This window comes from Homo sapiens, chromosome 15, assembly GCF_000001405.40.
Source record: "Homo sapiens chromosome 15, GRCh38.p14 Primary Assembly".
NCBI classification, from domain to species: Eukaryota; Metazoa; Chordata; class Mammalia; order Primates; family Hominidae; genus Homo; species Homo sapiens.
The window spans coordinates 89,681,120-89,697,671 of record NC_000015.10 but is presented as its reverse complement, the minus strand read 5'-3'; the positions used below and the strand labels follow the sequence as shown (position 1 = coordinate 89,697,671).

Here is a 16,552-nt window from a genome sequence, read left to right as displayed (position 1 = left end):
TCAATAACACTATTAAGTAATTTTTTCCAATTGACAGTTACAGAACGCTCTACCCAAAACAGCAGATTGCAAATTATTTTTAAGTGCACATGAAACATTTACCAAGACAAACCATATTCCAGGCCATAAACCAACTCTTACTAAGTTTGAAAGAACTTAAATAATACAAAGTATGTTCTCTGACTGCAACAGAATTATTTTAGAAATCAATAACAGAAATTTCGATGGTTCAATGTATACAAGACCTCAAAATATTAGGAAACTAACACGCTTCTTAATAACCCATGGATCACTTTTAATAGTTTTAATGCTCCTAGGGTAGATACTCAGGAATGGGATTGCTGGGTCATATGGTAAATATATGTTTAAAATATTTTACATACATATTAGAATGGCTAAAATAAAAAAAATAGTGCCAGGTGTGGCAGCTCATGCCTGTAATCCAAGCACTTTGGGAGGCCAAGGTGGGAAGATTGCTTGAGGCCAGGAGTCTGACACCAGTCTAAGCAACACAGTGAGACCCCATCTCTACAAGGAATTTTAAAAAACCACTGGGGTGGGGGTGGCGTGCACCTCAGTCCCAGGTGAGGTAGGAGGATTGCTTGAGCCAGGGAGGTCAAGGCTGTAGTGAGCTGTGATCATGCCACTGCACTACAGCCTGAGTAACAGAGTGAGACTTTGTCTCTAAAAAACAAACAAACAAACAAACAAACTGACAATACTAAGCACTGGTGAAGATGCAGAGCAACTGGACTCCCATACATTGCTGTTGAAAATGCTGAACAGGACAGCCACTCTGAGAAAGGATTTGACAGTGTCTTATAAAGTTAAACATATATTTACCATATGACCCAGCAATCCCATTCCTGAGTATCTACCCTAGGAGTATTAAAACTAACCTATCATCCGAGCACTTTGGGAGGCCAAGGCAGGCAGATTGCTTGAGCCCCGGAGTTCAAGACCAACCTGGGCAAAATGGCAAAACCTCATCTATACAAAAAATACAAAAATTAGCTGGGTGTGGTGATGTGCACCTGTAGTCCTAGCTACTTGGGAGGCTGAGGTGGGAGGATTGCTTTAGCCAGGGAGGTCAAGGCTGCAGTGAGCCATGATCACACCACTGTACTCCAGCCTACGTGACAGAGTGAGGCCCTGTCTCAAACAAAAACAACCACCACCACCACCACCACCACCAATGTAAGTTCACACAAAAACCTCTACACAAATGTTTATGACAGCTCTACTTATAATTGTCAAAAATGGGAAACAATCCAAATGTCCTTCAACAGGTTTATCAATGGATAAACAAACTGTGGTATATCCATATAATAGAATACTAATCAGTAATAAAAAGCAAAAAACTACTGATCCACACAACAACATGGATGAATCTCAAAGACATTATGATGAGTGAAAGAAAACAGTCTCAAAATTTATATGCAGTCCAATTCCATTTATACAGCATTCTCAAAAATGCAAACTGAGTAATGGGGAACAGATCAGTGTTTGTCAAGAGTTATAAGCAGGGAAGGGTGTTATTCAAAAAGGACAGCATGGCTGGGCATGGTGGCTCATGTCTGTAATCTCAGCACTTTGGGGGGCCAAGGCGGGTGAATCACTTGAGGTCAGGAGTTCAAGACCAGCCTGGGCAACATGGCAAAACCCCACCTCTACTAAAAATACAAAAATAAGCTGGGTGTGGTGGTGTGTGCCTGTAATTCCAGCTACTCAGGAGGCTGAGGACCAATAATCGCTTGAATCTGGGAGGCAAAGGTTGCAGTGAGCTGAGATTGTGCCATTGCACTCCAGCCTGGGTGACGGAGTGAGGCTCTGTCTCAAAAAAAAAAAAAAAAAAAAAGGACAGCATGAGGGAGTTTTTTGGAGTGATGGAACTACTTCATCAGTGGAAAGAAAAACATAAAGCTGTCTTTATCTCCAGATGATATGCTTATATAGGAAATCTGAGGAAATCTACAAAAACATTTTCTAGAACTAATAAATGAGGAGAGCAAGGTGGTAAGATACAAGTTCAATATACAAAAACTGATTGTATTTCTATGTACTGGCAATAACAAACCAAACATTGAAATAAAAATACCATTTACAACAGTATCAAAAACATGAACTACTTAGGGATAAATCTGACAAAAGATATATAAAACCTGTATCCTGGGCTAGGCAAGGTGGCTTGCACCTGTAATTCTAGCAGCTCAGCAGGCTGAGGTGAGAGGATTGCTTTGAGTCCAGGAGTTCAAGGTTGCAGTGAGCTATGATCATGTTGCTGCACTCCAGTTTGGGCAATACAGCGAAACTCCCTCTCTAAAAAACACCCACCCACATACTGAAAACTATAAAATATTGCTGACAGAAATTAAAGAAGACCTAAATAAATGGAGAGTGTGATACCTTATTTATGAGTTGGAAGACTCAATTTTGTTAAAATGTCAATTCTTTTCAAATTCATGTACAAATTCAACACAATCCCTATGATAATCCCAGGTGGCTTTTTTTTTTCCAGAAATTAAGAAGCTAACTTTACAACTCATAATTGGAGGACTAACACTACTTAATTTCAAGACTTATCACAAAGTTACAATATTCAAGACAGTGTGGTATTGGTATCAAAATAAACAAACAGATCAATGAAATCAAATAGGGAGTCCTAAATTAGATGCAAACATATATGGAGAACTTATTTTTGACACAAGCACAAAGACAATTCGGTGGAAAAAGGATATTCTTTTCAGCAAATAATGCTGGAGCAATTAGATATCTATATAGGAAAAAAATGAATGCCGATCCATACCTTGCACCATATGCAAAAATTAACTCAAAGTAAAATCATACACCTAAATGTAAAACTGAAAACTATAAAACTTCTAGAAGAAAACTTTGGCAATCTTCTCTTAGACAAAGATTTCCTAGATATGACATTAAAGTATAACCTAAAAAGAACAAACTGGTCATTTAAACCTTTTCAAAAATAAACTTGTGTTTCTTCAAAACACACTGTTAAGAGAATAAAAGGTAATCCTCAGATGGGGAGAAAATATATGTGCAAGTCACTTATCTGATAAAGTACTTTTGTCCAGAGTATTTTTAAAACTCTCAAAACTCAGTAATAAAAGAAGTAACCCGGCCGGGTGCAGTGGCTCACGCCTGTAATCCCAGCACTTTGGGAGGCCAAGGCGGGCAGATCATGAGGTCAGGAGAGCGAGACCATCCTGGGTAACATGGTGAAACCCCATGTCTACTAAAAAATACAAAAAATTAGCTGGGCATGGCGGTGGGCACCTGTAGTCCCAGCTACTCGGGGGGCTGAGGCAGGAGAATGGTGTGAAACCAGTGAGCCGAGATCGTGCCACTGCACTCCAGCCTGGGCGACAGAGCGAGACTCCATCTCAAAAAAAAAAAAAAAAAAAAGAAATAACCCAACAATTTTTAAATATGTGCAAAAAATTTGTACAGATACTTAACCAAAGAAGATATACAGATGGCAGATAGACTCATAAAAAGATGTTCAGCATCATTAGTCATTTGTGAAATGCAAATTAAAATCATGAGATACCACTACACGTATATTAAAATGCCTAAAGTTAAAAAGATAGACCATGAAAGTGTTGTTGAAGATGTACAATAAGAATGCTCATACACACTATTGGGAAACCAAAATAGTACAACTGGTTTGGAAAACAGTTTGGCAATTTCTTAAAACGCTAATGTGGAGGCCAAAGCAACTCCATCTTAGATGCTAATCCTCCATGTTAACTTCTGATTATCCCCAGTTCCAGAAAAACCTCTAAGATTTCCATTTGACTCATTCCTTGTGTAAGAGCACCACTTACTGTAAATATTGCCCTTAGGTCAAAACAACCTTGATGTTATCATTCTTGCCATAAATTCTGTCCTTAAGCAATTATCTTACACATTCCTTCTGAAGCACCTTTCTCTATAGCACAGAAACCCTGGGTCTGGTGGATAATGGCAGGGATCCACCATCTTGTCTTGCTCCTGAGACATGGCTTCTGTTTGTTTGTTTAAATTGTATTTATTTATTAAATGTTTGTTTCTGAGAAACTGGGTATGTCAGCCTCTTGCTTTGGCCTCTCAGCTTTCTCAGACTTTTAGGGGTAGGTTTGCATAGGCCTGTCCCCTGCAGGACAGTTAAACACATTATCTACCATCATATCCAGTCATTCCACTCTTAGGAGTGGTAGAAGGGAACTGAAAACATATGTCCATACAAAGACTTGTACACGAACAGTCATTACAACTTTATTTGTAGGAGCCCCAAAGTGGAAACAACCCAATGTCCACCAACAGGCAAACAGATAAGCTCTCACGCATTGTCAGTGGTAATACAAAATAGGATAGCCACTTTGGAAAACAGTTTGGCAGTTTCTTACAAAGTTAAACATACCATATGTTTCAGCAATCACATTCCTGCATATTACAGTAGGAAAATTAAAACTTATGTTTCACATCAAAATCTGTACTTAAATATTTATAGCAGCTTTATTTATAATGGCTTCAAATTAGAGACAACACAAATGTACTTCAGTGGGTGAATGGATAATGAATTATAATACATTCACATTGTGGAATAAAAAATTACAAACTACTGATGTGCACAACATAGATAATCTCAAATGCATTATGCTAAGTAAAATAAATCAGAAAAGAAAAGAAAACGCTACATACTATATGATTCAATTTATATGATATTGTGAAAAAGGCAGAATTGTAGGTATAAAAAACAGATGAGGCCAGGCGTGGTGGCTCACACCTGTAATCCCAGAACTTTGGGAGCTCGAGGTAGGTGGATCACCTGAGGTCAGGAGTTCCAGACCAGCCTGACCAGCATGGTGAAACACCATCTCTACTAAAAATATAAAAAATCAGCCATGCGTGGTGGCGCATGCCTGTAATCCCAGCTCAGGAGGCTGAAGCAGGAGAATCGCTTGAACCCGGGAGACGAAGGGTGCAGTGAGCTGACATTGCGCCATTGCACTCCAGCCTGGGCAATAAGAGCAAAACTCTGTCTCAAAAACAAAAACAAAAAACAGATGATACACATCTGTGTTTAGAAGCACCCTGTGCTCACCTCTATCATCTAACATATCTCTGTGTTGTACTTATCAGTTTACTGTGTTCCTTGTTAACCTATTACCCTACGACTAGAGTTTAGCACAGTGGTTGGTATATGGCCAGGACTCAATAAATTCTCATTGCTTGCAGAATTGCCCTGACCTGGGCCACGTATTTAGAGAAAACTTCTGGCTCTCTTCGAGGCTCTTTCCTCTACAAAAAATGAGTAACCCATGGGGCCAAGGAGATATGCTCACCCAAAGCCTAGTTTCCCTCTTCTGGAGTCTAGACCATGTTCAGGGTACCAATACCCCTGGAATTTACTGCCCAAATGACACCATGGCCTGCATGAGCCCTTCTCAGCTTTCACCTGAGGGCAGACCCAGCTGCTAATGTGAGCACTCCTCGATCTGAAAAGGTGGCAAAGGCATGGCTGCTTGCAGAGGTACGGGCAGACGTTGGATGTGGCTTGGAGTATCAGGATGGTATACAAGGCTCCTGGCAGGGAATGCAGGTGGGCACCAGAAACCAGAAAAGAAAGGGAAGTGGGAAAAGACTGGGAGCCATTTCTCCCCACACTGCCATATTCCAGCTGTGTTTCCAGGTATTCTAAGGAGTCTAGGGATTCTGAAGATGAACCTGGCCTTCTACATCATTATGAGGGTCTATTTGTCAATGTAGGAAAACAGACTATATTTTACTTTACAATTTGTTGCTTGATTTATAACTAAAATATTTAAACATACGGTGTGCTGGACTCCATTTGTACTCTTACCCAGGGCCTGCAAATGTTAGGAGCTGGCCTGACCAAGGGAATAAAGATTACGAAAATGTTCACCTTATTTTATTTTATTTTATTTTTTTGAGACAGCGTCTCGCTCTGTCGCCCAGGCTGGAAAGCAGTGGCACAATCTCGGCTCACTGCCACCTCCGCCTCCTGGGTTCCAGCGATTCTCCTGCCTCAGCCTCCCGAGTAGCTGGGATTACAGGCGCCCACCACCACGCCCGGCTACTTTTTTTGTATTTTTAGTAGAGACGGGGTTTCACCCTGTTGGCCAGGCTGGTCTCCAACTCCTGATCGCAGGTGATCCGCCCACCTCGGCTCCCAAAGTGTTGGGATTACAGGCGTAAGCCACAGCACCGGCCGACCTTATTTTGTGGTTATAGAGGGTACATTTTATAAAATTACTGCCACGGAGTGGGTAAGGCTCCTTTTCTTCAAGCCGCACAGAACGAATGTTCAGCGGTGCAATTTCATTGCAATCTATTTTTGCTTCACTTTGCTCATAATGACTCTTTTAGGATTTCCTCAGGTAACAATCTTCTTTCAATGTTCAATAATCCAAGCAGAACATTTTCTCACTTCATCCGCCTCCCATGCTAGGTTCACACTGTGAAATTGGCTTATCTCTGACCTAACCACTTCCTTCACCAGACATAGAGCTGGTGTAGCTCAAGGGAAAGAGGCACGGCGCTGGGAAATGATTAGGCCCCACCGTCCCAAGCAAGAGCTCAGGGGAGTTCTGAGGCTGGAGAGACCATTCGGGATATCACCCCGGGTTCCTGAGAACCTGAGATCTGCGGGGAGGCGTCAGGCATCCGGAAACGCCCGAGTCTGGGGAGACGGACCCCCTCAGACTTTCCTCTAGGAGACTCTACAGGTAAAGGGGAGTCCTGGGACTCGAGGGGAGCCCCGGCATCCAAAGGTAAGATCAGTTTTGCTCACCTGGCCGGGCGGCGTTGCGTCGCCTTGGTAACCACAACTTCCGGCTTGAACCGGAAGTCCGCGAAGTTGCTCTACAGAAAGTGTGCCCGCCCCCTCTGGGGCGGAGAGACTCAGCCCCTCCCCCTCAGCGGATAACCTGGGACTGACCGTTCCCTGGGGATCCGACGGGCCCCAGAGGACCCACGCCTGAGCCCCGTGCGACTCGTGGCCTTTGGGCTAGAAGCCATGGACGCCTTCACCCGCTTCACCAACCAGACCCAGGGCCGGGACCGACTCTTCAGGTGAGTCAGGTGCCAGCGGCCTCCGCCCCTTTCTCGCCCTAACTCGGCTCCCGTGCCTATTCCCCTGCACCCGGGAAAAAGGAGGTGATAGCCTAGTAGATGGAAGCAGGAAGGACGTTGCCAGCTCCTACGGAGGGAGTTTAGTATCCGAGCCCCTCCTTACCCTAAATTCAACGTGAGTGGGCCCAACGCACCCGCGTCCCGTCCTAGCCCCGTGCACGAAAGCCCCAGTGCCTGGCACCCTAGCCGCCTCGAGACCGCCGACGACGGGACACCGGCTGACAGATCCTCCTCCCCTCCTAACTTTGCTCTCCGGGCACAGAAAGATTGGTTCTCTCCACTCAACATTCTTCCGAGGGATCTCCTTTAAAGAGAAACTTTGGATTAGTATTTGTGGCTAGGGAAGCAAACCACTTGGTGTGACTTCAAATATCTCTCTTTTTTTTTTCTTTTGAGACGGAGTCTCGCTCTGTCGCCCAGGCAGTGGCGCGGTCTCGGCCCACTGCAACCTCTGCCTCCCGGGTTCAAGCGATTCTCCTGCCTCAGCCTCCTGAGTAGCTGGGATTACAGGCGTGCACTACCACGCCCGGCTACTTTTTGTATTTTTAGTAGAGACGGGGGTTTCGCCATGTTGGCCAGGCTGGTCTCGAACTCCTGACCTCAGGTGATCTGTCCACCTCGGCTTCCCAAAGTGCTGGGATTACAGGTGCGAGCCACCGCGCCCGGTCTCAAATACCTCTTGAAATGTTTGAGGAGAGACAGAAGTTCTCTTCCATTATTACCCAGGCTGTATCATTGAGATACTGCATGTGGAATAGTTTTGTAAATTGTAAAACAAAATATAGCGGGGATGAGACCACACCAACTGGATTGGGGGGAAATACAGTGGGGAGAAGCTCAGAAAGAACTAACTGCACCTCTAAGGTTCATGCTGTGCTACTGAAAATATTAAACAGAGATTGTGTCTCTTTTTCTTTTGGTTCCATAAGAAACGAAAAGAACTGAGAGATTGTATCTTTAATACGAATACAGTACTAGTTCATGATGTTTTAGAGATTTGGTTGATTCTTGCTTAATGAAAAAATATTTACAGTTGCAGTTTTATTTAACAGCTCTGCATTCTCTTCTGGGTGTGCAAGTGCTGATACAAACAGATCAATTAGAATGGCCCCAATAATGAGGCTTTTGGAAGCCATCTTTATGACAGCTATTGTTCCCAGTGTTTTGCAACTATGAACTTATATAACCCTCATCACAACCCTATGAGGTAGATACTCTAAATATTTTACCCACTTCAGATGGAGAAACTGAAGCAGAAAGAGGTTAATAGGTACTACAATGGCAGAACTGAGGGATTCACATCCACGCAAATGACTCCAGTGCCCACTTAACTACCAAGCTATACTGGCTTTCTCATTAGTTTGATAGGTTTTTTAAATGGTTACTTTATATACAAGCTTCATTAAATAGAAATTTCATTAAATAGAAACCTGTAATTCCAGTGTACCTAGAATGTACCCTGCAGGGTTTATCAAGGAAGTTGGTTAAAAAAATAATCATTTAGGCCGGGTGCAGTGGCTTACACCTGTAATCCCAGCACTTTGGGAGGCTGAGGTGGGCGGATCACAAAGTCAGGAGATCGAGACCATCCTGGCTAACATGGTGAAACCCTGTCTCTACTAAAAATACAAAAATTAGCTGGGCGTTGTGGTGGGCGCCTGCAGTCCCAGCTACTCAGGAGGCTGAGGCAGGAGAATGGCATGAGCCCAGGAGGCAAAGCTTGCAGTGAGCCAAGATCACGCCACTGCACTCCAGCCTGGGCAACAGAGCGAGACTCCTTCTAAAAAAAAAATAAAAACATTAAAAATAATAATCATCATCATTTAGGCCGGGTTCAGTGACTCACACCTGTAGTCCCAGCACTTTGGGAGGCTGAGGTGGGCAGATCATGAGGTCAGGAGTTCGGGACCAGCCTGGCCAACATGGTGAAACCCCATCTCTACTAAATATGCAAAAATTAGCTGGGCGTGATGGCACATGCCTGTAATCCCAGCTACTCAGGAGGCTGAGGCAGGAGAATCGCTTGAATCCGGGAGGCGGAGTTTGCAGAGAGCCAAGAACGCACCACTACCCTCCAGCCTGGGCAACAGAGCGAGACTCTGTCTCGAAAAATAATAATAATAATAATTTAAGATATGTTTATTCCAAAAGATCTGAGATCTCTAGCATTCATTTCCCAACCTCCTTGATGATCTGTATAACCTTTATGACCACACTGGCATTCATAAAATAATACCTTGCTTTCTGTGCCAATAATGCTCATGCAAACACGGTGAACATTCCTAAAACCTGTCAGACTGTAAGAAGTGTGGCAAGCACCAACCCCACAAAGTGACATAGTACAAGAAGAGCAAGGATTCTCTGTATGCCCAGGGAAAGCAGCATTATGACAGGAAGCAGAGTGGCTGTGGTGGGCAGACTAAGCCGATTTTCCAGAAAAAGTCTAAAACTACCAAGAAGTTTGTGCTAAAGCTTGAGTGTGTTGAGCCCAGTGAAGATCTAAGAGAATCCTGGCTATTAAAAGATGCCAGCATTTTGAACTGGGAGGAGATAAGAAGAGAAAGGGCCAAGTGATCCAGTTCTAAGTATCATCTTTTGTTTTATTATGAAGACAATAAAATCGAGTTTATGTTCACTTCAAAAATAAATAAATAAAAGTAATGTCTTACTGTTGGCCTGATCCTTATTATTAGACCAAAGCTCAGAAAGGCAGAATCATTGACATGACCAGTCCTGTAACCAGGAAGGACACTTAAAAAAGAGAAAGCGATTGTTTATGATTCCAGTCTTCTCTTTTTATTTCATTCCTAGTAACAAGTTCACTATTTTAGAAAATGAAAATGTACCGCATTTTTATTGAGAATAATATTTATAGCATAAAGGGATTCAAATGCACTTACAAGACAGTAGGAACCAGGCACCTACTTTATTAGTAGATTGCCAAATGGATTTGGATGTGTGACTATGTGATGTAAAATTTCTCCTACATTTATATTAGTAAGTCATTGTTATTTGTAAGCATGACAATAATCACTTTATTAAATATATAGTATTATTAAGCAGGATTCTGCCTGTATTTTATGTAAAATACGAATAAGTTTTGAAAGACAACTATGAAAACATATTTATACTAATTTATGTACTGATGTGTATTTGGTCCTTTCGTTTATAAAAAATTAAACAATCTTTAAACTGTGGACTTTTCATTTGGTTCTGGTTTGAGTTTGTGTCCTGTCACATAGATGGTAGGTTAAGTACATGGTAGAAAAGTTCATTTTAGAAATCTGAAAATCAGGCCAGGCACAGTAGCTTATGCCTGCAATCCCAGCACTTTGGGAGGTTGAGTAGGGCAGATCACGAGGTCAGGAGATCGAGACCAGCCATGACCAAAATGGCACAACCCCGTGTCTATTAAAAATACAAAAATTAGCTGGGCGTGGTGGCACACACCTGTAATCCCAGCTACTCGGGAGGCTGAGACAGGAGAATCGCTTGAACCAGGGAGGCAGAGGTTGCAGTGGAGCCAAGATCACACCACAGCACTCCAGCCTGGCGAAAGAGCGAGACTCGATCAAAAACAAACAAAAAAAAAACAAAGAAAGAAATCTACACTGGGGAAGAGAAGGAATATGGATCTTTGTAGACTTAACATGAGGGAGATTTTGTACAGTTTCTCACTTTGACTATATCCATTTCTCTGTGCCAGCAAAAGGCCTTTTGGAGGCACATTGGCTGCATTATTGCAGAATTTGTTTTCATTACCTTTGTGTTAAATTTCCATGACATGTTCTACCCTTTGGCTCTCCTGTAGAATGACTGTTGCAGAATTTTGCTTTTGTAAGAGTTGCTACATGAGAAATGGTCTTGGAAATGTTGTCTGGAGGCATGTGTTTCTCTTTCCCTTACTTCCTGAATTAAGTTTTATTTGGTTTGTAAATCATTCTTCTCAATTTTTTTTTTTCCATTTCAGAGCCACTCAGTACACATGCATGTTGCTTAGATATTTGTTAGAGCCCAAAGCTGGCAAAGAGAAGGTGGTAATGAAGCTCAAGAAACTGGAGTCCAGTGTGAGCACTGGTCGTAAATGTAAGTACCCTGTTTCTTGAGGGACAGTGACTCCTGGTTTAGAATCCTCAGCCTCAGACCCTGTAATTCACGGAGTAATTTCTAGGTCATTAATTTCTAGTCAATCAAGTTTATTGGTGAAATTGACCAGTAAGGCTGTCCTCATGGCACAACAGGTTTGAATGTGTTGCTGCAGACCATTCATAAACACCCTCTTATGTTCACATCTGGTGCTACACCTTATCTTTCTGCTGAATCATAACCAGTGAGACAGACAACGTGTTAGTTCACCTTTAGTTCTTAGAATCATAGTATGTTTTAGCAGTCTCTGACATGAGCTTCTGCTCCTGTGAGCCCCTTTATTCTAAACAAGAGTGGAATAGTTATATCCTAGACCACCTGCCTTTTTCCTTTATTGAGGAGTGCTAGAGGATATATAGGTGGATACATTTTTGTAGACCATGTTTGAGGTAGGTTTCATGCCAAAGGTAAAAAGTGAAATCAATATTTTGTGTTTATTAAATTTACTTTAATAATATGTCATACTGGGAAATCCAGTACTTTTCATAGCAATTGCCTTTCTGAGTCTTTGTTGTTTGATGAAAACCAGATGTTGCTATAGTAGGTTAGCAGAGGCATTAGAATGGAATGTAGAGCATCACATATTGATCAGTTGGTTTTGAGCACCTATGTTATATAGGTACATTCCTGAGCCTTATGGGAGAAGTAAGGTGCTTTAAATAATGATATATAAGATTTAGTGCCAAACTTGTTGGCTGAGGTAGAGGAAAAGAAAGGTGTTTTAGAGGAGGTGGAACTTGAGGTGAGGCTAGAGAGAAGGAAGAAGAGAGTTTCGAAGGGCAGTTTTCTCTAATAAAGGCTCAGAACTGAGTAAACCATTGTATGGGAGGATCATTGTCAAACTACAAAACTAGTTTGACAGATTTAAATTGTCAAGCAGAGGGATGGGAAGGGTAGGGCGAGCTTTTCTGGATGGCACTGAAGGCCAAGATTAGAAATTCTATTTAGATTATTTAGAATGTTGGAGCTGAAAGGTCCTTTAGAGGTCACTAGTCTGTAAGTCCAGAAGGGGCTTATCCAGGGTCATTCAGCCAGTTAGTGCAAGGGCCAGAACTGGAACCCAGAATCTATATACTAAAATAGTCATTACATATACTATTTTACTATTTTATGTTATTTTTGATAACATAATACAAAACATTCTTTTTTTTTTTTTTTTTTTTTTTTGAGATGGAGTCTCACTCTGTTGCCCAGGCTGGAGTGCAGTGGCATGATCTTGGCTCACTGCAACCTCCGCTTCCCAGGTTCAAGCAATTCTCCCACTTCAGTCTCCCTAGTAGCTGGGACTACAGGCATGCGCCAATATGCCTGGCTAATGTTTGTTTTTATTTTTTATTTTTTTTAGTAGAGACGGGGTTTCACCACGTTGGCCAGGCTGGTCTCAAACTCCTAACCTCAGGTGATCCGTGCACCTTGGCCTCCCAAAGTGCTGGGATTACAGGCGTAAGCCACCGCGCCCAGCCCCTTCTGAGATTATAAGTTTTCTGAGAGTAGCTACTTCTGAGCACCTCCTGAGTCTAAGGTATGATCCTTCAAGGAAAAGTACTTCTTTTGTATCCTCCGTGACATTTAGTACTATAACTCTTTCTCAGAAGGTGTTCAGTAAGTACCTATTGATTGATGCATCCCTGATTAATTGAATTACGTGCTCACATAAGGACGTGCCATTGCAATGGTTGATTTAATTCAACTAGGAGCTCTGTGACAATATTATTAATTGTTCTATCCATTAAATTCTACCATTTCTACTTTATCTTCTTGACAATAGGTAGCCAAAAGGGGTTTGGACCAGAGAAATGGCAAAATGATAATAGTGTTTTTTAAAAAGACAGTCTTTTGTCTGGAAAATAAATAAAATGCAAGGCATCAGACTCTCCAAGAGAGTATTGCATCTGGAGTTCATGTTATCATAGTACCTTCCTTCTAAAGAAGTGTAGCTGGTAAATAATCAAATGTAACAGTCCACACTCATGATTGACCTTGCCTGGAGTATGCCGTCAGTCAACATTAAGGTGTTCATTACAATGGAGGAGGTAAATTTAAAGAGTCACTGTATTTTTTGCCTTCCAAGATCACTTTAGGTGTCCTTAATGTACTGTAAAATCTTTCTCTTTTTCTGAACAAAGGCTGAGCCTTTAATGACCATCAGTTGTTAAAAAGACCAGTGCTAAGCTGGGCACACTGGCTCGTGCCTATAATCCCAGCTACTCGGGAGGCTGAGGTGGGAGGATTGCTTGAGCCCAGGAGACTGAGGCTGCTGTGAGCTGTGATGGTGCCGCTGCACTCCAGCCGGTGTGACAGAGCAAGACCCTGTCTCAACAAAAAACAACAAAAAGCTGGCTCCTCACCCTGATACAGGGATTCTATCTTCCTGTTGTGTACTAATGAAATAACTGTTCACTATTGTGGGTTCTACTTGCAGGGTTCAGACTAGGCAATGTGGTACATGCTATACAGGCAACTGAGCAGAGCATTCATGCCACTGACCTGGTACCTCGCTTATGCTTAACATTAGCCAACCTGAACCGTGTGATTTATTTCATCTGTGACACCATCCTCTGGGTGAGGAGCGTAGGTCTCACCTCTGGCATCAACAAAGAGAAATGGCGAACGAGGGCTGCTCACCACTACTACTATTCTCTTCTGCTGAGCCTGGTCAGGGATCTGTATGAAATCTCCCTGCAGATGAAACGAGTTACATGTGACAGGGCAAAGAAAGAGAAATCAGCATCCCAGGATCCTCTTTGGTTCAGCGTGGCTGAGGAGGAAACAGAATGGCTCCAATCCTTTCTACTTCTTTTATTCCGATCTCTGAAGCAGCATCCTCCCTTGCTCCTGGACACAGTGAAGAACCTTTGTGATATCCTGAACCCTTTGGACCAGCTGGGGATCTATAAATCCAATCCTGGCATCATTGGACTTGGAGGTCTTGTGTCCTCTATAGCAGGCATGATCACTGTGGCATATCCTCAGATGAAGCTGAAGACCCGTTAGGGTGTTTTTAGGCTTGGAACTAGTACCTACTTTAAAAGATGGCCTCTTGGTGGGACAGACATTTGTATAAGTCACAGGCCATGTCATACTGTGCTTAAGTTCTTGTTCATGTGAGCATTTAACAACCTGTGATGTGGGCAGAGATGAGGCCAAGAACGGAGAAGGGAGGAGCATGAAGAGTTGTATGTTTTTGGAGTGCTGGAGTGACTTGTGAATTTCTGAATATTTTCCCTTCATCTAACATTGATTGAACATCTCTTATGTGCATAGTGGGAGCTTAGTATTTGCTGAATGAATAAAAATTGAAAGGAAAAAATTTAAAAAGACCCAATCGCACTGATCATTGAACACCAGTATACAATAACTTTAGGGTCATATGGATCATTGGTTTCACGATTACAGTAGGTCTGGTGCATGGCACTCTCAGATCTAGTAGAGGCTCTGATGTCAGTAGCAGGATGGAGGAGAGCTGGGCTTACAGCCTCTCAACTTGTTGGCCCTTATACCATCACTGCACTCATGTCCTTGCTCTGTGCAGAAGTAGAATCAGAAAAGCATCAGGCACCTTCATGGTATAAATTGTGTCTATGGGTGCAGTGAATAAGCAAAAATCAGAAGCAGACCGGAGGGACTTATAAAAATAGGTACAGGGTCACAATGGGTGCCTATATGTAGCCTGTGACAGATAAGAAGCTGACAGTGAGACAAACAAAAAACTGAGGCTAGAGCCTCATTCCTCTGACTCCTAATCCAGTGTTCTCTCCATGCTCTCCCACTGTCTTCAGAATTGAGTAGAAATGTGATCCCCTCCTGAATCCTGTTTTTTGCCTCTTACTCTCCCATAATTTGGAAATTTCCTTGTCCAGTGGTTTATATTCTTTTCTAGAAAAACTAAAACTGGGTGGAGTGTGGTGGCTCACACCTATAATCCCAGCACTTTGGGAGGCTGAAGCGGAAGGATTGCTTGAGGCCAGGAGTTCAAGACCAGCCTGGGCAATGTAGTGAGACTCCTTCTCTACAACAAAGTGTTAAAAAATTAGCCAGGCATGGTGGAGTATGCCTGTAGTCCCAGATACTCTGGAGGCTGAAGCAGGAGGATCACTTGAGCCCAGGAGTTCAAGGCTGCAGTGAGCTTCCACCGCACTCCAGCCCGGGTGATAGAGCAAGACCCTGTGTCTTAAAAAAAAATTAAGACAGTATTTAGACTTATCAGTTAGATTGTTTTATTTAAATCCTTCTAACAATTTAGGCAATTCTACATTAATTTTCATCAAAATTTATCCAGTCAAAAAAATTTCATGAATACTCCAGATGTAAGAGAGTCACAATTTTCTACGATAAATCAGACATCTTATTTCTAGGGTGATTGAGGGAGGTGGAAAGCGCAGGAGGAAGCCAGTGAAGAGGACAATGGAATGCTGAGTCAATGACATTGACTTGTGTTCCTATCTGCCATCTTGGGTGTGGGTCTTTATATGTGGTTACAGATCCTTTAGTTTGAGGGAGGTGAGGTAGAGAAATAGGATGCCAGCAGGTAGGAGGCCGATGTCAGTCCTCCCAGCAAAGCTGTGTCATTTATCTGAATGGAAATGAGAAAATAAATATGTACTCAATAAGTCACATTTCCCAGAAATGTGATTGAGATTCTCAAAAAATAGACTCAGATTCTTGGCTGTCTGTTTAACCAATCACGATATGGGATTTGAGAAATAAAATTTAGGGAATTTTAAGAGACATGAAAGCTACTAGGTCAGGGAAAATAAAAAGCTTAAATAACTATTTTTATTGTCCAGATCCTCTACTGTAATAGATTAACTATGTTCAATAAATTTCTAGACAAAATTGACTTGTGTCTGTGAGTGTGTTCTGGGAAGAGAGAAGAGTTAAACATAAGGCAATCCATCAGATAATCCTCAATCAGCCTACACAGTTGGTACAGCGAGCTCTGGGCTAGAAGATCCAGGCTGAGGAGGAGGATGGAGAAAGATTGAGATGTAGAGCCTCTGGGTTGAGAGGGACCTCTGAAATGAACTCATCTAGACTGCTGCCATGGAGATGGTGCTCTACAGTAGCCCTGTCAATCGCTGGCTGGCTTCTGCCTAGGTAAGTCTGCCTTGAATTCATGGTGGTATGTTATGTTACAGTGGTATCCATCTTGGTACTTTTGTCCTCTGCAATGGTGAGTGGTGGGGAGTTTGGGAAATACTACCTCTTCTAAGAGGTTTGTGTAAACCTTAATGGTGTCCTGGTACCACCC

The 16,552-nt window shown here is 42.4% G+C and overlaps 2 protein-coding genes and 1 pseudogene across 17 annotated transcripts in view, besides 1 other annotated feature; 2 read left to right on the top strand and 1 right to left on the bottom strand.

Annotated features, from left to right (window-relative positions):
• Positions 1–7,324, bottom strand: part of WDR93 (WD repeat domain 93) — a 53,291-nt gene extending 45,967 nt beyond the window's left edge. For 13 of the 14 annotated variants that reach the window (XR_931869.2, XR_931870.1, XM_011521795.2 and 10 more), the window contains exon 1: positions 6,815–6,861. The gene's annotated coding sequence lies outside the window, so the exon portion shown is untranslated. Of the gene's footprint in view, positions 1–6,814; positions 6,862–7,258 lie in introns of those variants that run through there. The other variant, XM_011521794.3, reaches the window with a different exon arrangement.
• PEX11A (peroxisomal biogenesis factor 11 alpha) lies at positions 6,918–16,137 on the top strand. 3 transcript variants are annotated; one of them, NM_001271572.2, is made up of 3 exons: positions 6,918–7,095; positions 11,126–11,241; positions 13,817–16,137. In NM_001271572.2, exons 1-3 carry the CDS (start codon positions 7,040–7,042, stop codon positions 14,293–14,295), a joined length of 651 nt encoding a protein of 216 aa, NP_001258501.1. In that variant the 5' UTR covers positions 6,918–7,039; the 3' UTR covers positions 14,296–16,137. The 3 variants fall into 3 exon arrangements, with proteins under 3 accessions (NP_001258501.1, NP_003838.1, NP_001258502.1); NM_003847.3 differs by having other exon boundaries at positions 13,724–16,137; NM_001271573.2 differs by lacking the exon at positions 11,126–11,241 and having other exon boundaries at positions 13,724–16,137.
• Positions 6,994–7,083: an enhancer, noted in NCBI's record as "active region_10054". NCBI's record gives its function as "activates an Ori minimal core promoter by ATAC-STARR-seq in GM12878 lymphoblastoid cells {active_cell/tissue: GM12878}" and the evidence as "EXISTENCE:reporter gene assay evidence [ECO:0000049][PMID:35858748]".
• Positions 9,392–9,795, top strand: RPL36AP43 (ribosomal protein L36a pseudogene 43; annotated as a pseudogene).

Bases quoted from the DNA above. Each gene is read 5' to 3' on its own strand.
- PEX11A (NM_003847.3), top strand. From the start codon at position 7,040: ATGGACGCCTTCACCCGCTTCACCAACCAGACCCAGGGCCGGGACCGA. The intron at 7,096-11,125 runs GTGAGTCAGGTG...TTTCCATTTCAG, and splicing joins GGCCGGGACCGACTCTTCAG to AGCCACTCAGTACACATGCA. The intron at 11,242-13,723 runs GTAAGTACCCTG...TTCTACTTGCAG, and splicing joins TGTGAGCACTGGTCGTAAAT to GGTTCAGACTAGGCAATGTG.